The 15,709-nt window shown below is 35.0% G+C and overlaps 1 protein-coding gene across 2 annotated transcripts in view; it reads right to left on the reverse strand.

Moving 5' to 3' along the window:
* Nucleotides 1–3,114: 3,114 nt before the first annotated feature.
* The window catches only part of TMPRSS11D (transmembrane serine protease 11D), a 63,127-nt gene continuing 50,532 nt past the window's right edge, over nt 3,115–15,709 (reverse strand). The window contains exons 7-10 of one of the 2 annotated variants that reach the window (NM_004262.3): nt 15,443–15,620; nt 9,500–9,759; nt 7,971–8,113; nt 3,115–4,737 (exon numbers count right to left, since the gene is read on the reverse strand). In NM_004262.3, coding sequence (NP_004253.1) covers nt 4,576–4,737; nt 7,971–8,113; nt 9,500–9,759; nt 15,443–15,620 — 743 coding nt within the window. In that variant the 3' untranslated portion in view covers nt 3,115–4,575. The remainder of the gene's footprint in view (nt 4,738–7,970; nt 8,114–9,499; nt 9,760–15,442; nt 15,621–15,709) is intronic. The other variant, XM_017008851.2, reaches the window with a different exon arrangement.

Here is a 15,709-nt window from a genome sequence, read left to right on the forward strand (position 1 = left end):
TTTCAAATGTATCAGATTCAGAAAGAAACTCTTGATTTTCTACTCTTCAAACTTGGTTCTCCTCCCAGATTTTCCTCTCTCAGTTATTTTCTATCTCAGGACCAAAACTTAAGTCAACTTGGATTTCTCTCTTTTCTTCAGCACCTAAATCTAATCAATTGGAAATTATTATTTTTTTCCTATGGGTATTTCCTAAATTTCAATATTTTCTACCATCTTCACTGCTAGCTCCTTAATCAAAGTCAAGCTCATCCTTTTCCTAGATGACTGCAATGGTCTATTGATTAGTTTCACTTTTACTCTTGTCCTCTGGTAGTTCTCTGTAGAGTAGCCAGATTCATCTTTAGAAAATGGAAAATTGATCATATGATTTCCCTCCATACTCATGTCCTCACATTTAGAATAAAACAGAAACTTAGTTATGTGGCCCACATGTCTATTTCTTCAGCCTCACCTAATACCAGTCTCCCCTTCATTAATTTTGTTCCAGCCACACTGGCTTCTTACTGTTTTCCAAACCCACCAACTTTGTAGTTACCTCAGGAACTTTATACTTGCTTTTTCTTTTGCCTGTCTTGCTCTTTCCCAGAATTCAGTTTGACTGGCCTAGGATAGTATCTGGCACATGGCAAGTGAGCAAAAACTATTGATAAATAAATAAATGGATGGTTAAAAAAATGAATGAATGGATAGATGAATAAATTTTGCAGAAAAATCTCTTTCTGAACATGTCAACCGTCTTAAAAACAATCTTAATTGATTCAGGTGGTAAAAGTATAGTTTTATTGTATAGATATATTGAGCAGTGGTGAAGTCTTGACTTGTCGTGCACCCATCACCTGAATTGTGAACATTGTAACCAACAGGTACTTTTTCAATCCTCACCCACCTCTCCCTTTTGAATCCCCAGTGTCTATTATTTATTCCCCACTATATGTCCATGTGTACCCATTGTTTAGCTCTCACTTGTAAGCAAGAACATGTGTCAACAGATTTTAATTGCACTAGTAATTTCAGTATAACTTGTATGGTTGGAGGTAGGTTAAATGTAATGGCATTCGTGGAAAATGCCCTGTTTGTTTTCTGAATCATCTCATCAATTTCATTTGGTTGCCTTTTTTCCAAAATGGATTGTTACTTAATTCACATTGTGATTGGTTTGATTTCTTTAGGTGATTTGTTTCATAGTTGAGTACCAGATTAAACAAACTAACAAATCGATATCCAAACTCTGAAATTCCTCTTCCTCTCAGAGATCTTATGATCCTCAGAACTGCTTATTATGGGTAGCATCTTAGACTGTGTAGCAGCCTTGGGAATAATCTGATTTTAAGCCCAACTCATTACAGAAATCTTTCAAAACATTTCCGCAAAATATCACCGCAGGTGATTATCCAGCTTCTGCTTAAAAATCTCCCATGATTTAAAAAATGCTCCCATGGAAAGAAATCTCTTTCTCCAAATGACAACTACTTCCTTTATAAATAACCCACCAAGCCTGATGCTGTGGTGCGTGCCTGTAGTCCCAGCTACTTGGGAGACTGAGGCAGGAGGATCACCTGAGCACAAGAATTTGAGGCTGTAGTGTGCTATCATTGCACCTGTGAATAGCCACTGTACTCCAGCCTGGGTAATATAGTGAGATCCTGTGTCTAAATTAAAAAAAAAAAAGACATGCAATGAAACACCAGAAATAGAGAAGGAGATAACCTGTTTCCCCTACAGAAGATTAATCAAACTGACTGTTTTGAAATGAAAAGGACTAGGTTTGATATCTGGATTATGTAGACATGTAATAAATATAAAGAGAAAAATCTATTTTTGGTCTCACTGAACCATTTCATATTTAGCAAGTTGGAAAGAAAAGGAAGTGAGTTGTGTAAACGAGAGCCTGTGAAGGATTTAGATTCATAATCTGAGAAGTTCTTAGTCTCCTTTTCCCTAACCACAGGGAAATTATCATGGTTTGTGGCAAATTGCTGCTCTGAAAGACTGTTTTGATTTTATTACAAATTAAACATATTTTTATTAGTCTTCTATGACCTTCCCATTCTTGTGTTATCTTGTCAGAAATGTTGTACTCTATCATTTCATCCTTTTTGTTATATTGCATAATGTGTTTGTCAACATCACTATTCTCTGCGTGTCTTAAGGGCAAGTATTATGTCTTATTTATCTTCGTTTCATTGGTTAGCAGAGAACCTCAAACATAGTAGGACTCAATACATTTATTAAAGGAACAGTTTACATTCTGTAATTAAGACGTTCAATTAGTGCAATAAGTAGTAAACTGTTTGCTCTAAACTTTCTTGGATAATTCTCTTTTCATTAGTTCTGTTCACTATTTTAAACTCAGGAGGATTCAGTTTTAGTGCCAAATATTCACTTCGTTTGACACATTTTTTAATTGATTAGTATATGTGCTTTTAAAAATTGATTAGTATGTATGCTGAACAGGATTTTCCTTGTTCAATCTTTCTACAACTGAATTAGGGTGCTAGAAAGTTTCTTCCAGAGCTCCCAGAATGATTTTTTAAGGACTGAAAGCATTTATAAATCGCCACTCCTCCATAACTACTCAAAATTACTTTCATGAAGCCATACATAGGTGTCAGGAAAAGTGAATTTATCAGTACATAAAAAAGAAGCTCTTAAAATAAATGCTCCCCTAGTTTTCAAATATCTTTTCACAAAATATGCATATTTTGCTAAATAATTTTTTGTTTTCAATAAATAATTGAATTTGCTCTATTTTCTGCTAAATAATTATCTTCTTTTATATAGCTTTCAATACATAAGAATAAACACAAATATCTCTGCTATTATATGAGGGCAGCTGCACACACAAACACACAAACACACTCAAGCACAAAGTCTCCCTCCCCTTGAGACTTACCCTAAATTACCAGTTCAATGTTGTCTTCACAGGGTGCAACTGAGGAGTGTCAAGCTGGACGCTTGCCTCAATTATAGCGCTGGATTAAAAGGCAGCAGAAAGTGCCAAGCCTTTAGTAGAGTATATGGGGCAGTTCTTTCATTGCAGAACCAATTAAATAAATGGTTTTGAATTGTCCTTCAAAAGTCATAACTTCCATAAATAATTAGGCAGGGAAATTATTTTAAAAAGAATTTATTTGAAATAAAGTATAGCAAAGATTTGTTTGTACAGTTCGCCAAGAGTTGGTTGCATTTTCAACTCCCTTTCCCTAAAAGTAGATGGCTTTATTGTAGGTGTTTGCACAATTTTACATCAGGAAATACAAGAAGTTTTCAGCAAATGTATGGAGCAGTCCTGATGCCCAGATGCAGGGAGTTAGCTTGTAGAAGGAGGAAGCTCTGACGCATAGATGATCATGCATAGGCAAACTTTAGCTGTACTAGGAGCTCATAAAAACTCAGGAATATTAGTGATTCAGACTACAGAGATTTTCATGCCATTACATTTTAGTGGATTTAATTTACATTATATTCTTTGGTGGGGGAGGCATGTGTATGAGAAGGGGAGAGAGAGAGAAAGAAAATGAGAGAGGAAGAGTGACAAAGTTTTTTCTGTCTTCAGGATCATTCTATTGATATTAAGCTATTTAAACTTTTCCTTTGCAAACCAACTCTTCCCCCTCTTTAAACTTTCAATTCGTTACTTAGATTTAGCGTTTGACGACCCTTTTACGCTCAAAAATATAACTGCCAGTGATAGGAAGTCTGTAGTGGGACGTTCTTCCCGATGATTAAATTTTTCATTCTTAAAATTATTATTTTGTTGTTAAAAAGTACTATGTAGTTGTAAAGCACCTGACAAGTTTGTGTAGGTATATTTCTTAGCTTCTCTATAAAATAGATATAGTCTCTCCTTTATGTAGATGAGTGATATTTTTCATGGGTCATCATGAAAAATATCTATAATTCTTTGGGTCTCAGTTGAGGAGTGAACTATTTTAGCTTTTGCCTTAAATAGCTGAAAATTATCCACTATTTCCTATGGAAGCATGTTCTTACAGAATAATTAAGGTTAGGTTATACGTATAGTACAACAGTTTCACATTTTTAATTTTAGGACTCATACTAAGTATAAGATATTGAGTAACCAAAAATTTTAAATACATATTATTTCTCTTGCCTCATACTGTTCTTTTTGTCTTGAATATTATTCTATCACTTTTTCCTTTGCATGTTTCCACAGTTTGCTTACTTCTCATCCTCAGTGAAACCCAGAGAAGACCCCTCTGACCCATCAGACCTGTGCAGGTTCCTCTACTATACATGCTCAAGGTTCCTGTTCTTCTCACTACGGGCATTTAGCACAACTGTAATGAAATTGTTAACTTTGTAATTAGTTTAGTGTGTTTCTTCTGTTACACAGCCACAGTACTATGCAACATTCATATAGTTCTCTGGAGAAAATAGAAAACCTTTAATAATAAAGAAAGGTTAAACAGTGTTTGTTAAACCATATTTATGTAACAAGATGTTAAATTAGGACATTTCTAGTTTCTTTTTCAGTTGAAATGTAAAGCTTTGGAATTTAAGACAGGCACACCTGCATACAGACTTTGCAACAGGGATGCACTTGTTGCACTAGATCCCAGTTTGTTGCCTAATCCAGTCAAGGTAGGCTGTCACTCGAGTATACACTCCTGGCTTATCCGGCAGGCCACACTGATCTCCCCAGCTTACTATCCCCACAATAAACCAAAGCCGCCGTGAGTCTTCTTGTACTAGTGGGCCACCAGAGTCACCCTGTAAAAAAACAGAATGACTGATTACTTAAGTGCAAAGACAAACCCAAAATATTAAGGAGTTTATTTCTATGGCAGTCGAGGAAGGAGTCACATTCATTATACAAATAAAGTCAGCCTATTTCCTTTTGAAATATTATACCAAGTCATGGAAAAATTACTGAAATCCTCAAAGTACCCAAGTCATTCCTTCAGCAAGTCTGAGAAGATGACAAATACATTTTTCAGATTTCCCTCAGTCACCGAGTGGTTGCCTCCTAATCATCCAGGCTTTCTCTCCTTCGGGAAAACTTCTCTGATCAACCTTTTTCCTTCACACTCTCACCCTTTCCAGCTTTGGGCTCAATTGTTCTTCATTGTGTCTTTATATCTTGTGTGTGTCTCTGTCACTGCTTCACTATTTTATAAAAGCATATTTGTGCATTTGTGTGCCTATTTACACTTAATCCCACTGGTCAGTTTTTGTTTGTTTGTTTTGTTCTGTTTTGTTTTGATGTAGCAGCTGCATGTCTCTGAAACACTCACTTGCATTTGTGATATTTATTCAATGTCTGTTTTCCCAGATATACTATAAGGTCCAACACGAAAGAGAACATACCTATTCTGTTCACTGCTGAAACCTAAGCTTCTAGCCCTTAGGAGATATTTGTTGAATGAATGAGTTTCTAGAAGTCTCACTTATCTTCCTAACCTTAGCACCCTGCGTGGTGTCTGATGCATAGTATATCATCAGAAAGTCTTCTTTTGGTGAAGAAATTTATATAGTCATAAGCAAAACACTCCTAATGACATACTTACCACCCAGTCATAATAATGAACCAACCAACCAATAAATATTTGTGCACATAATAACCTAGTTGGGGAGACAGATGGAGTATGTCTTATGTTCTGCACGATGGATTAAGTCTGTGGGTTCTGAAACTAGATAGTCTGGGTTTAAGTCCTCCACTTACCAGCTATGTGACCTTTGGTAAGCTGGTGAATAGCTCTCTGTACCTCTGTTTCCTCATATAATGTTTGTATCAGTTTAAAACTCAAAGCACTTTGAGTACAGCTTAGCATATAGTATAGTCAGTACTAATAAAAGTCAGCTATTATTACCAAGTGTGCTTCTAAGTTAGTCAGCTATTCAGTTGGCTGCTCTTAGTAGCTAGCTCATCCATACCTGTTTAATTACTGGTCTAGGTGGGGAGAAGGGTCAGTGTGTGAAGTGCCAATATGCATGGCAAGTACTTCATGAAGCTGGTCGTCACCTGCTTCTTTTAGATGACATATGCATGCTTCAGTTAACCAGTTCTCAGTTCTTTATATTATTGTTTTTGTAGTGTTTTTTTTTCTATAGTGAGAAATTATTTTGCATGATGTCTGACCAAATGTGGGCAAGCAAATGTTAAAGCAAGAGGGACTTGTAATTTTTCCATATCTAGCCAGCTTCACTGCTTGACTACAGACATTTGAATTTGTGTCCTCTCTTGTAGACCATAGACTTGCTGAATGCAGGGATAGTATTGTTGTGTTAACACAACGTCGGGTGCATAGAAAGTAATTAATATAATTCCTTTGAATTAATGATTGTAAAAATGAACAAAAGAATGGATAAAACAAATAGGATCCTGTAAGCTCTTATGTAAAGTGCTGTGTTTTTTTTTTTTTTTTAAGTGTGAACTATGCATTATAGTATTTCAGTTAAAAATCAGTGAGGCCTAGAGTGGAATATACATGGAAGGTATCATGGTGAGGTACGGCTTGAACTGGGCTTCAAGGAAGATAATAATTTGTATGCACTGAAGGACAGAAGGTAAGGGACGTTATAAATGGGAAAATAATGAATAACACCCTTTTAAAACTCATGTTTATTTTTAAGTCTTAATTAATGCTCTTAGTAGGTCTGGAATTGTCAGTGTCGAGTTGTGTTGCTTATTTGATTGATGGATTCTTTGGAAAGCTGTCATGAAACTTGAGAATTTGTTGTTTCAGGGCCAGTAGTAAAAGAGAAACAGGAAGGAGAGCAAGAAGGGTTTCCTAGCACAGAGACATCTCCACCAAAAGGAGATAAAGGACTGGGTAATTAACAGTATCTTGACAATTGAAAAACAAATCTCCACCTACACACAACTTGCAGTTGATAAAAATGTTTCATTTTGGGAAATGTGCTCATGGATTGGGGGCTTTCCATGAAATGTGAGAACTACTTTTTATCCACTTTTTAAAGACCATGAGCACTAAATATGAAAGTCAGTGACCTTTTGATGCGAAGAATAATTCTTATCCTTCTGTATACAATTCACCCATGAAAACAGCAACAAATTACTCAAGTAAACAGATTGATTTTTTAAAACTCCAGACTAAAAGAATATTTAATTTCTGACACCAGCTGTTCCTGCTACTGTGTGGAGTTGGATTTCAGATATGTGAACAAAACCTATTAAAACATATAACTGCATCAATTATGTTTAGATAATTTAATTTAAAATTTTAGAATTCAAATTTGATTTTAATCACTTTACAGTGAGAATTTCATATTTGTTGTTTGTTTTTGTGCATTTGGTTAAAAATTATGGGCTAGATCCAAATATAATAGTTATTTCTTTTCTTTTTCATTCATACTGTTTCATTATTGTAGGAGCTTTTGTGACTCAAATTACTAGGATTTTGTATAAATTTTCTATCTTCAAGGAGTCCATGAATTATTACGTATCTCTTAAAATTCATTTATTATATATCAATTAATTTTTATAATATAGTGATTAATTTTTTATTTAATCCTTCACAGCAGTTAAAAGGTTGAGGTTAAAGTTATTAACACGAGTGACCATGGTCTACATTAATAATAGTGAAATAGATGAGATTTCTTTGTTGTTTACCATGTGCCTGATATATTTAGTCTTCATTTAACTTTTCTTAGTACCCAAAAAGTTAGGTGCTATTATGATTATCCCCAGCTTTTAGTTAGAGACTTGGTAATAGAGGTTAAGGAATTCAAATCGAGGTCTTTCTGATTCTTGAGCTTTGGATGGTTAACTACTCTGTAATTTGGCCTCTCAGAGTTAATGCTTTCATGATAGATAAACTTCATTCATAAAAAAATTTATTTCTAAAATCTAGATTATAAATTTTAGAGGAACAGGGCTGTGTATTGTAACTGTTACACTTATGTCTATCACATTATCACATACTAGGAAGTGCTTATACACTTCTTGGATGATGACATGGATGAGATTGTCTTGAGCTTACCTGACATGCGTCCACTCCACCTTGAGGTACTCCAGCACACAGCATTCCAGACAAGATGGCTCCATTATAACTATGTGGTGCATTACATACATCATTACTTATTATTCTGACCTGTCCTTGCCTTAGCTCTGGAACTGTGTGGCCTGTTTGTTATAAAAGCAGGAAAAAAATGGACTTCAAGATGTGTACATTATTGACCCTATAATAAATTTGAGAAGAAATAAATGTACTCCAAACATTATTTCATATTTAACAATGAAGGCTTCTAAAGATTTACTTTGGAGTTTCTTCGCAGCCAAAATTCCCCAAGTAGATGAGGATAACCCCTTTCACAGATCAGTTTTTTTTTCTTTTTTTTCTTTAGCTTTGTGACACAGTGCCCCTTAAAATTTTAAGAAAACAAATATCTTAAAATTGACTAAAAGCTTTTAAATTATCCACTGACAGATTTTGGATTGGAAGATTACATATTGAATAACCTTTAACCTAGCAGCAAAAGAGAAACCAGTCTAGTTTCAAGGCTAAAGAACTAGTCTATTTTATATTGATGTACTCTCAGAATGACACCAATAGTTTTTCATGACTGGTGCAAATGTTATCTACTACACCAATTTACTTTGGGCCATAAGAACACAATAGAATGTGTTCTAGGACTATTAAGGCTTTGTATTATTCCTTGGAGAGACAATCTACAACATGGGTAAAAGCCCAGGGAAATTGTCAATGCTACCCTTCCACTCCTTCGCTGATACTCTTACTGGTTCTAGTAGCTCTTGTGCATTGTCCTCATTTTAGTTTCCATTTTATTCATTCAATAAACAAATATGACCAATGTTTATATACACATCGAGTTTTTGCCATATCCCAGAATACTTTAAAGGGCAGTTAATACCTTAAGGATTATTAAGCCCTCATACAATGTCTAATCTAAATCCTCCCATTGCTTTGGGAGGCCAACAAGGCAGGAGGATGGCTTGAGGGCAGGAATTCCAGACCAGCCTGGGCAACAGAGCAAGAACCTGTCTGTAGAAAAAAAAAAAAAAAGCTGGGTATGGTGGTACACACTTATTTATAATTCTAGCTACTTGGGAGGCTGAAGCAAGAGGATTTCTTAAGACCAGAGTTTGAGGCTGCAGTAAGCCATGATTGCACCACTGCACTCCAGTCTGAGAAAGTCTTTGTCTCTAAAAAACAAGCAAACAAACAAACAAACAAAATCTTTTTTATTGTTTATAGGGAAGCTATTTGAATCTTATAGAATCTCTGGATTATTAAAGAACTCGTGTCTTCATAACTTTCTTTTACATTTTCCTATTACTATATTTGAGAATTCCCATAGTTTCTGGAGCATTGCTTTGCTTTGCTAAGGAGACTCAGGGGTAGCCAGAGCTTGGGCTGAGCAGAATATAGAATGGTTCTGTCTGTAGAAGAATAGAAACACCTATTCCAGATGTTTCCTAATTTAAAAAATTACCTAATAGCAAATATAAGACATTTCTATTGTTAATTTTTTTTTCCGAGACACTTACCAGCATATTCTTGAGCGCCCCATCCTGTTACATAAGCAGTAGAGCCAGGTGGAATATTCTGGGTAGCAGCTGGGAGACACACACTATGGATATCTTTGGTAAAGGTGACACTGTTCTCAAGTCTCACAAGTGCAATGTCATTTTCATGAGTTGCAGATTTATAATTGTTATGAATTAAAATATTTCTTACTCTCATTCTTAGTTTAGGAAATGTTGTGGAAATACCAGACGTGGCAATCCAGTCACGAGGATTAGAGTTGCTAAAACATTATGAAAACATGCTATATGAGTAGGGAATTTGTGAACATTTCAGATATATAAATTCATCTTAGCCATCCTGTACCACTATCTAGAAACTATTGGATCCACATCTCTTTGCTATATTTTCCTGCATTATAAGCTGGCAAGTGAGTTTAATTCTTCACTGGCCGAATACATGGTCACTTGTCTAAAGAAATGGAGAAGATTTTAGAAAACATATCGTGGGGTGATCTTGGTGTTTTTCTATTCCAATGAAGTTATTCTGATACTTTAATGATAAGTAGCATAACACAAATATCTTTGATTTCTCTTTTGTCCATACCTCCCTTCCCATTTAAGCAACTAAGAAACCTGAAATAATAAACATTTTAGATTTAACTAATTTTTTTCAATCCCTGTCTTTTCCTTTAGCCAGGAGCTCCATTTAAATAGTAGTGATGATAAGGGGCATTCTTATCTTGTTAATGGATGAATAATTTTTCTGCACTAAGTCTGATAATGGTTGAAGATTTTGGTGTGTGTGTGTGTGTGTGTGTGCATATATATACATATGTATGTATGGGGTCTTCAAAAGTTCATTGAAAATGTATATTATAAACAAACTATGCATGGATTTCAAAGATTTTTGCATGCAGATAAACTCATACTAACTTGTCATACTGAACAAGATCTAGTTTGAGGCACTAAGAGGAATAAGACATGAATTTGAAAAGAGCTCTTATCAAAGCAACATGAATGCTGCTAAAATTGAAGCAAAAAAACGTCAAATTTATGGTGAAACTGGAAGAATGGTGAAATTATTTATGCCTTACAAAAAGTTTATGGGGACAGCATCTCCCCCAATCATCAGTTTACTAATGGATAATTTGTTTCAAGAAAGAAAGAGATGTTGTTGAGGGTGAAGCCCGCAGCAACAGATCATCCACATCAGTTTGCTAGGAAAAATTTCATCTTGTTCATGTCTCAAAGAGGACCAACAATTAACTGTGAGAAACAATAGACAACACCATAGACATCTCAACTGGTTCAGCTTATACAATTCTGACTGAAAAACTAAAGTTGAGCAAACTTTCTACTTGATGGATGCCAAAACTGTTTCGCCCAGATCAGCTGCACCCAAGGTCAGAGCTTCCAATAGAAATTTTAAACATGTCAGATCAAGATTCTGAAGTATTTCTTTGAAGAATTGTAACAGAAGATGAAATATGGCTTTACTAATACAATCTTGAAGACAAAGCACCATCAAAGCAATGGCTATAAAGAGGTAGAAGTGGTCCAGTCAAAGCAAAACCAGACTAGTCAAGAACAAAAGTCATGACAACAGACATTTGGGATGCTGAAGGCATTTTGCTTGTTGACCTTCTAAAGGGTCAGTGAAAAATAACATCTTCTTCTTATGAGAGTAAGAAAGTTAGCCAAAGCTTTAGTAGAAAAAGTGTCCAGGAAAGCTCCACCAGAGTTCTTCTCCATCACAACCATGCTCATGCTCATTCCTCTCATCAAATAAGGTTAGTTTTATGAAAGTTTCAGCAATAAATCACTAGGCATCCACCTTTCAGTCCTGATTTGACTTCCTCTGACTTATTTTTGTTCCCTAATCTTAAAACAATCTTTAAAAGGCACCCATTTTTCATCAATAAGTACTGTAAAAAAGTAATGTAAAAAAGACTGCATTGACATAGTTAAATTCTCAGGACCCTCAGTTCTTTAGGGATGGACGATATGGCTGGTATTATTGCTTACAAAAGTGTCTTGAACTTGAAGGAGCTTATGTTGAGAAATAAAGTTTATAATTTTTTATTTTATCTTTTAATTTTATTTTCCATAAACTTATCGAACTCCCCTCATATATAGGTATATGTATGTGTGTACAAGTATATGTGCACCTATATACATAGGGGGAGACAGAGAGAGAACAGTAGCGTTAAAAAAAAAAAAAGGACATTACCTTTATGACCTAGGAATGGGGACTTTTTGGCTAAACAACAAAAACACAAACTAAAAGGTAAAAATAGAATGAATTCTATTAAATCAAAATTAGATATACCATAGACAAGTTTACCAGATGGATGAGGAACCATGGGAAAATATTGGTAATGTTTAATGTCTAAAATTTTTGTAGAATATATTTTAAAAGTCTGTAAACCAGTAATAAATAAGCAGAAAAACCATTGTAAAATAGGCAAAGAATATTAGTGGCAGTTCATGGTAGGGGAGATCAAAACAGCTCTTAGATATATGAAAAGATACTCAAACTAGTAATCTGAGAAATTAAAATTATAAAAATGAGCATCTTGTGTACATTTAAAAGATTGATAAAACTTAAACAAAAGAATAATACTAAATGTTGATGTGGAGGGAAATGGGGCCTCTTTTGCAATACTGGTAAAGATTTAAGTGGCTGGAAAGTATTCTGGTATATTTAGCAGCCTGCATGTGTGCTTCTGAAATTCCTGAAGGTTTACAGAAAGATAAGTACAAATATTTTGTGTGTACTCTTTGTGGCAATGGGAAGGTAGGTCATGCAACCTAATTGGATGAAGGAAATATGGTGGCTGCATACCATGGGGTGCTATGCAGCAGTGCATCAGATGAAAATTCCAAGAATTGAGTGAAAACAGTAAGAAACAATATTAGACTTTTACACAATGCTACTTATTTAAATTAAAGACATATACATACAAAAAAACACTATAGGTTTTGTAGGTGCGTGCATGTACCTTTAAGACATGTATATTTCGAATATATTAGTATGAGGCATATGGGTGGAAGGAGGGCAGTGAAAGTGAAATCCAGGGATGACAGGAGGAAAAAAAATTAAAATGAGAGAAATGCCTTGTACAGACTGATGAAAATAAGGATCTGTGATGTGGAGGGCTGATTAACTTAACATTGTTCCTAAGGGTTGAGTAAAAACAAAATGTTACCGATAATACCAATTTAGGAGTTTTATGGAGATTAGATAGTGGAGTTAATACAGAAAATAAAAATTCTATGACCGGAAATACTTTTATAAGACACAGTAGTTTGTGTAAGAGTGAACCTGAGTTAAAAATTTTGAAGAAAAAATATTAGAAAACAAACAAACCTATGTTGTTTTTATATTCAACTTCTTTTGCTCGGAGTCTTTACAGTGAAGGTTCTGAAGAGACTCTTTTTTCTTTCCTTCCTTTTCTCTCTTCCCTCCCTCTCTTCCTTCCACTCGTTTATTTTCTTCCTTTCCTTCTTTCCAGCAAGTGAATTAGAGCATCATTTTGGAACCAGTAACATTTATATTTAAATCTTGGCTATGCCACATATGAAAAGTGTTATTTATGACAAGTTAATTAATAGCTCTGGGGTTTATTTACATATAAAATGTGATTGGTGATACCTTCTCACACAATTGTTAAGTATTAATGAGACAAATGTATTATGTCAACTATAGTGTTTGGCACAAAGTGAACTTTCATGAAGGTAGCTATTATTTTCATTAATTATAGTTCAACAAGCCATTGTTAAGTGTCTACTTTGTATAAGGAATAGTATGAGTCTCCAGGAATAAAAATATAAGTAATTATGGTCTCTTTCTTTGAGGAACTCTACACTAGTGAAGGAAACTGACAAGAGGTAAGTCAAATATCACAAATCATGAGGACAACTGTTAAAGGCAGATAAAAAAATTTCTGTGGAACTCAATGGAGAGGAAAGAGAGTATCAGGGAAAGCTACATAGAAGAGGTGATAATTCAATAATCCTCTTTGATAAGACCTCATCACTTCTATGTACTTTGATGTAAGGCTGGTCATGCCCCAAACAAATCCTCACTGATGGTTCTCAGTGACAATCAGGTCTTTAGGGAGGGGTCCAATACAAGGTTCACAGAGTCTGTTAGCTTTAGTGGATCAATCATGGTAATGAATAGAAGGATGTGGGGTGGCAAAATTCAAAGTTCCATGGATTCCTTTGGTAATCGTTGTCGATATTTATAACTGTGGCTTTCATTATAGTGATATCGTTTACTTGGTTTTTGGTGATTGGGACTGAATAGGGCTTAGAATCCAGGGAGGTTTCTATTCCGTTCTTGGTTATGCTAAGTGCCTGATAAGTCCAGGTATTTTAATTCCTGGTTCCCACACTCAAGAGTACGATTGAAATCAATGCGTGCCATTTCTGCTTTTTGGCCTTTCAAGTGGCAATGAAAATTGAAATGTTTTTGTGAATTTTGTCTCTTGGGTTATTTGGGATATAGTAATAAATTTGCCAATCTACATCAGAAAACTGATAATTCTGGGAGTATCTTTTAAAGTTTCAAATTTGTTCACTGCATATAAAAATATTAAGTCATAAAATTACCATAAGAAAAATTTGAAATAATTTGGGATTTCCTAAAACTTTAGTTCAGTAACTACCCTAGTCTTTTAAATCTTTATTCCTTCTAAATTTAACAAATACGTTTGTAACAGTCACTGTACCATGAAGTAGTGCCTATAAATCTGAAAAAACTACTTAGAAATTATCAAAAATTTCATAAAATTCAAATAGAGATGTGGTAAATATATTAACATTTCAAGGATAAGCAGATTGATCAGATACTCATAGGTAGGGAAATGTAGGAAGAGTCCAGGGGAAGAGAACAATGCTGTTTATCTGAAGCTCAAGGTACATGCTTTGAGAAATAAGACTGGATTGATCTGCCTATGGAAGGCTTTGTGTGTGTGATAAGGAGGTCCAGTTTAGAGTAAGAGTCTGAGAAGAAAATTGATATGGTCAGGGGCACACGAGTTCAAATCTCCATTATTTTTCTGGGTGAACTTTTTGAGTTAAGTTCCCAACAACTGTTGTGGTCTGCGATGCCCCAGTAACAAGGCAGGTTTGAAACAGATTTTAGTTATGCTGAAATCTAAAATCCTTCTTTTATGAGCAATGTGAACTTTTCTTTTTACCAATAAGGTAAGTTTATGCAACCTACTCGCCACTGGTAGCATATCACCCTAGTGTTGGCAATAGTTTAGTCACCTCAATTAAGAATTCTTGTAAGTTGCCTACATTAATTTTATTTATGCTACTCATTGTAATTGATCATTATTTTTGTGCATTCTGATTCCAACATTCGAGTGTAAGCTCTTTGAAGGCAGAGGCAATACTTTGTTTATACTAGTAGCTTCTACAATATATAACACTGTGCTCATACTAGATACTCAATAATCTTTATGAATGAATAAATTAATGGCATGGGGCAGTCTCTAGGTTAGCCATCAGCTCCCATGATATAATGTGCAAATCTTCCACAGCAATTCGTTTCGCTAACATTTAACGTATGTTTACATTAGTGTACTCAATGCTACCAGTAACACTAAGTCACAGATAACAGTGTTGTCCCTTAATTTGGAAAAAAAATAAAGCTTATGGAGATTTAGTAAATTTCTTAAGCTTTTATAGCTAGGATTTAAAAAACATTCTGACATATAAATCTTTGTTCTTTACTGTGCTAATATATTATTACCTGAAACAGAGAAATAGCACTAAATTAGCATGCTAAAGGGGAAAAATCCTTTTCCTTTCATGAATAGGAAGAAAATTCTTACTGATTTTTTTGCATTGAATTATTTCTGGCTCAATTCAATCCTAGGGTAGAGGGTGCAGTCTTCATGACCTGTCTATTCTAATTGTTCCCAGATGGGTAGGTAGTGGTGGCCTCACCTTCTGAAGCAGTGAGCTGCTGTCAGGATCCACATGTTATTGATCAGGCTGCCTCCACAGTGGTGGGCATTATTGAGCCGCAGACTGACTTGCCACGGCCAGCTTCCCTCCTCAGCCTCAGTGCCTCCAAGGATTCTCTGCTCAGACAATGTTATTAGGTCTGGACCGGCCCCACATTCTAATGAGAAAGGGCATTAATGTGCTGGGAAGATCATGATTCCTTTACATTTGGAAGAAGCTGAAGAGTCTTTCCATAATTTATGACTT

Source organism: Homo sapiens, chromosome 4, assembly GCF_000001405.40.
Source record: "Homo sapiens chromosome 4, GRCh38.p14 Primary Assembly".
Lineage (NCBI taxonomy): Eukaryota > Metazoa > Chordata > Mammalia > Primates > Hominidae > Homo > Homo sapiens.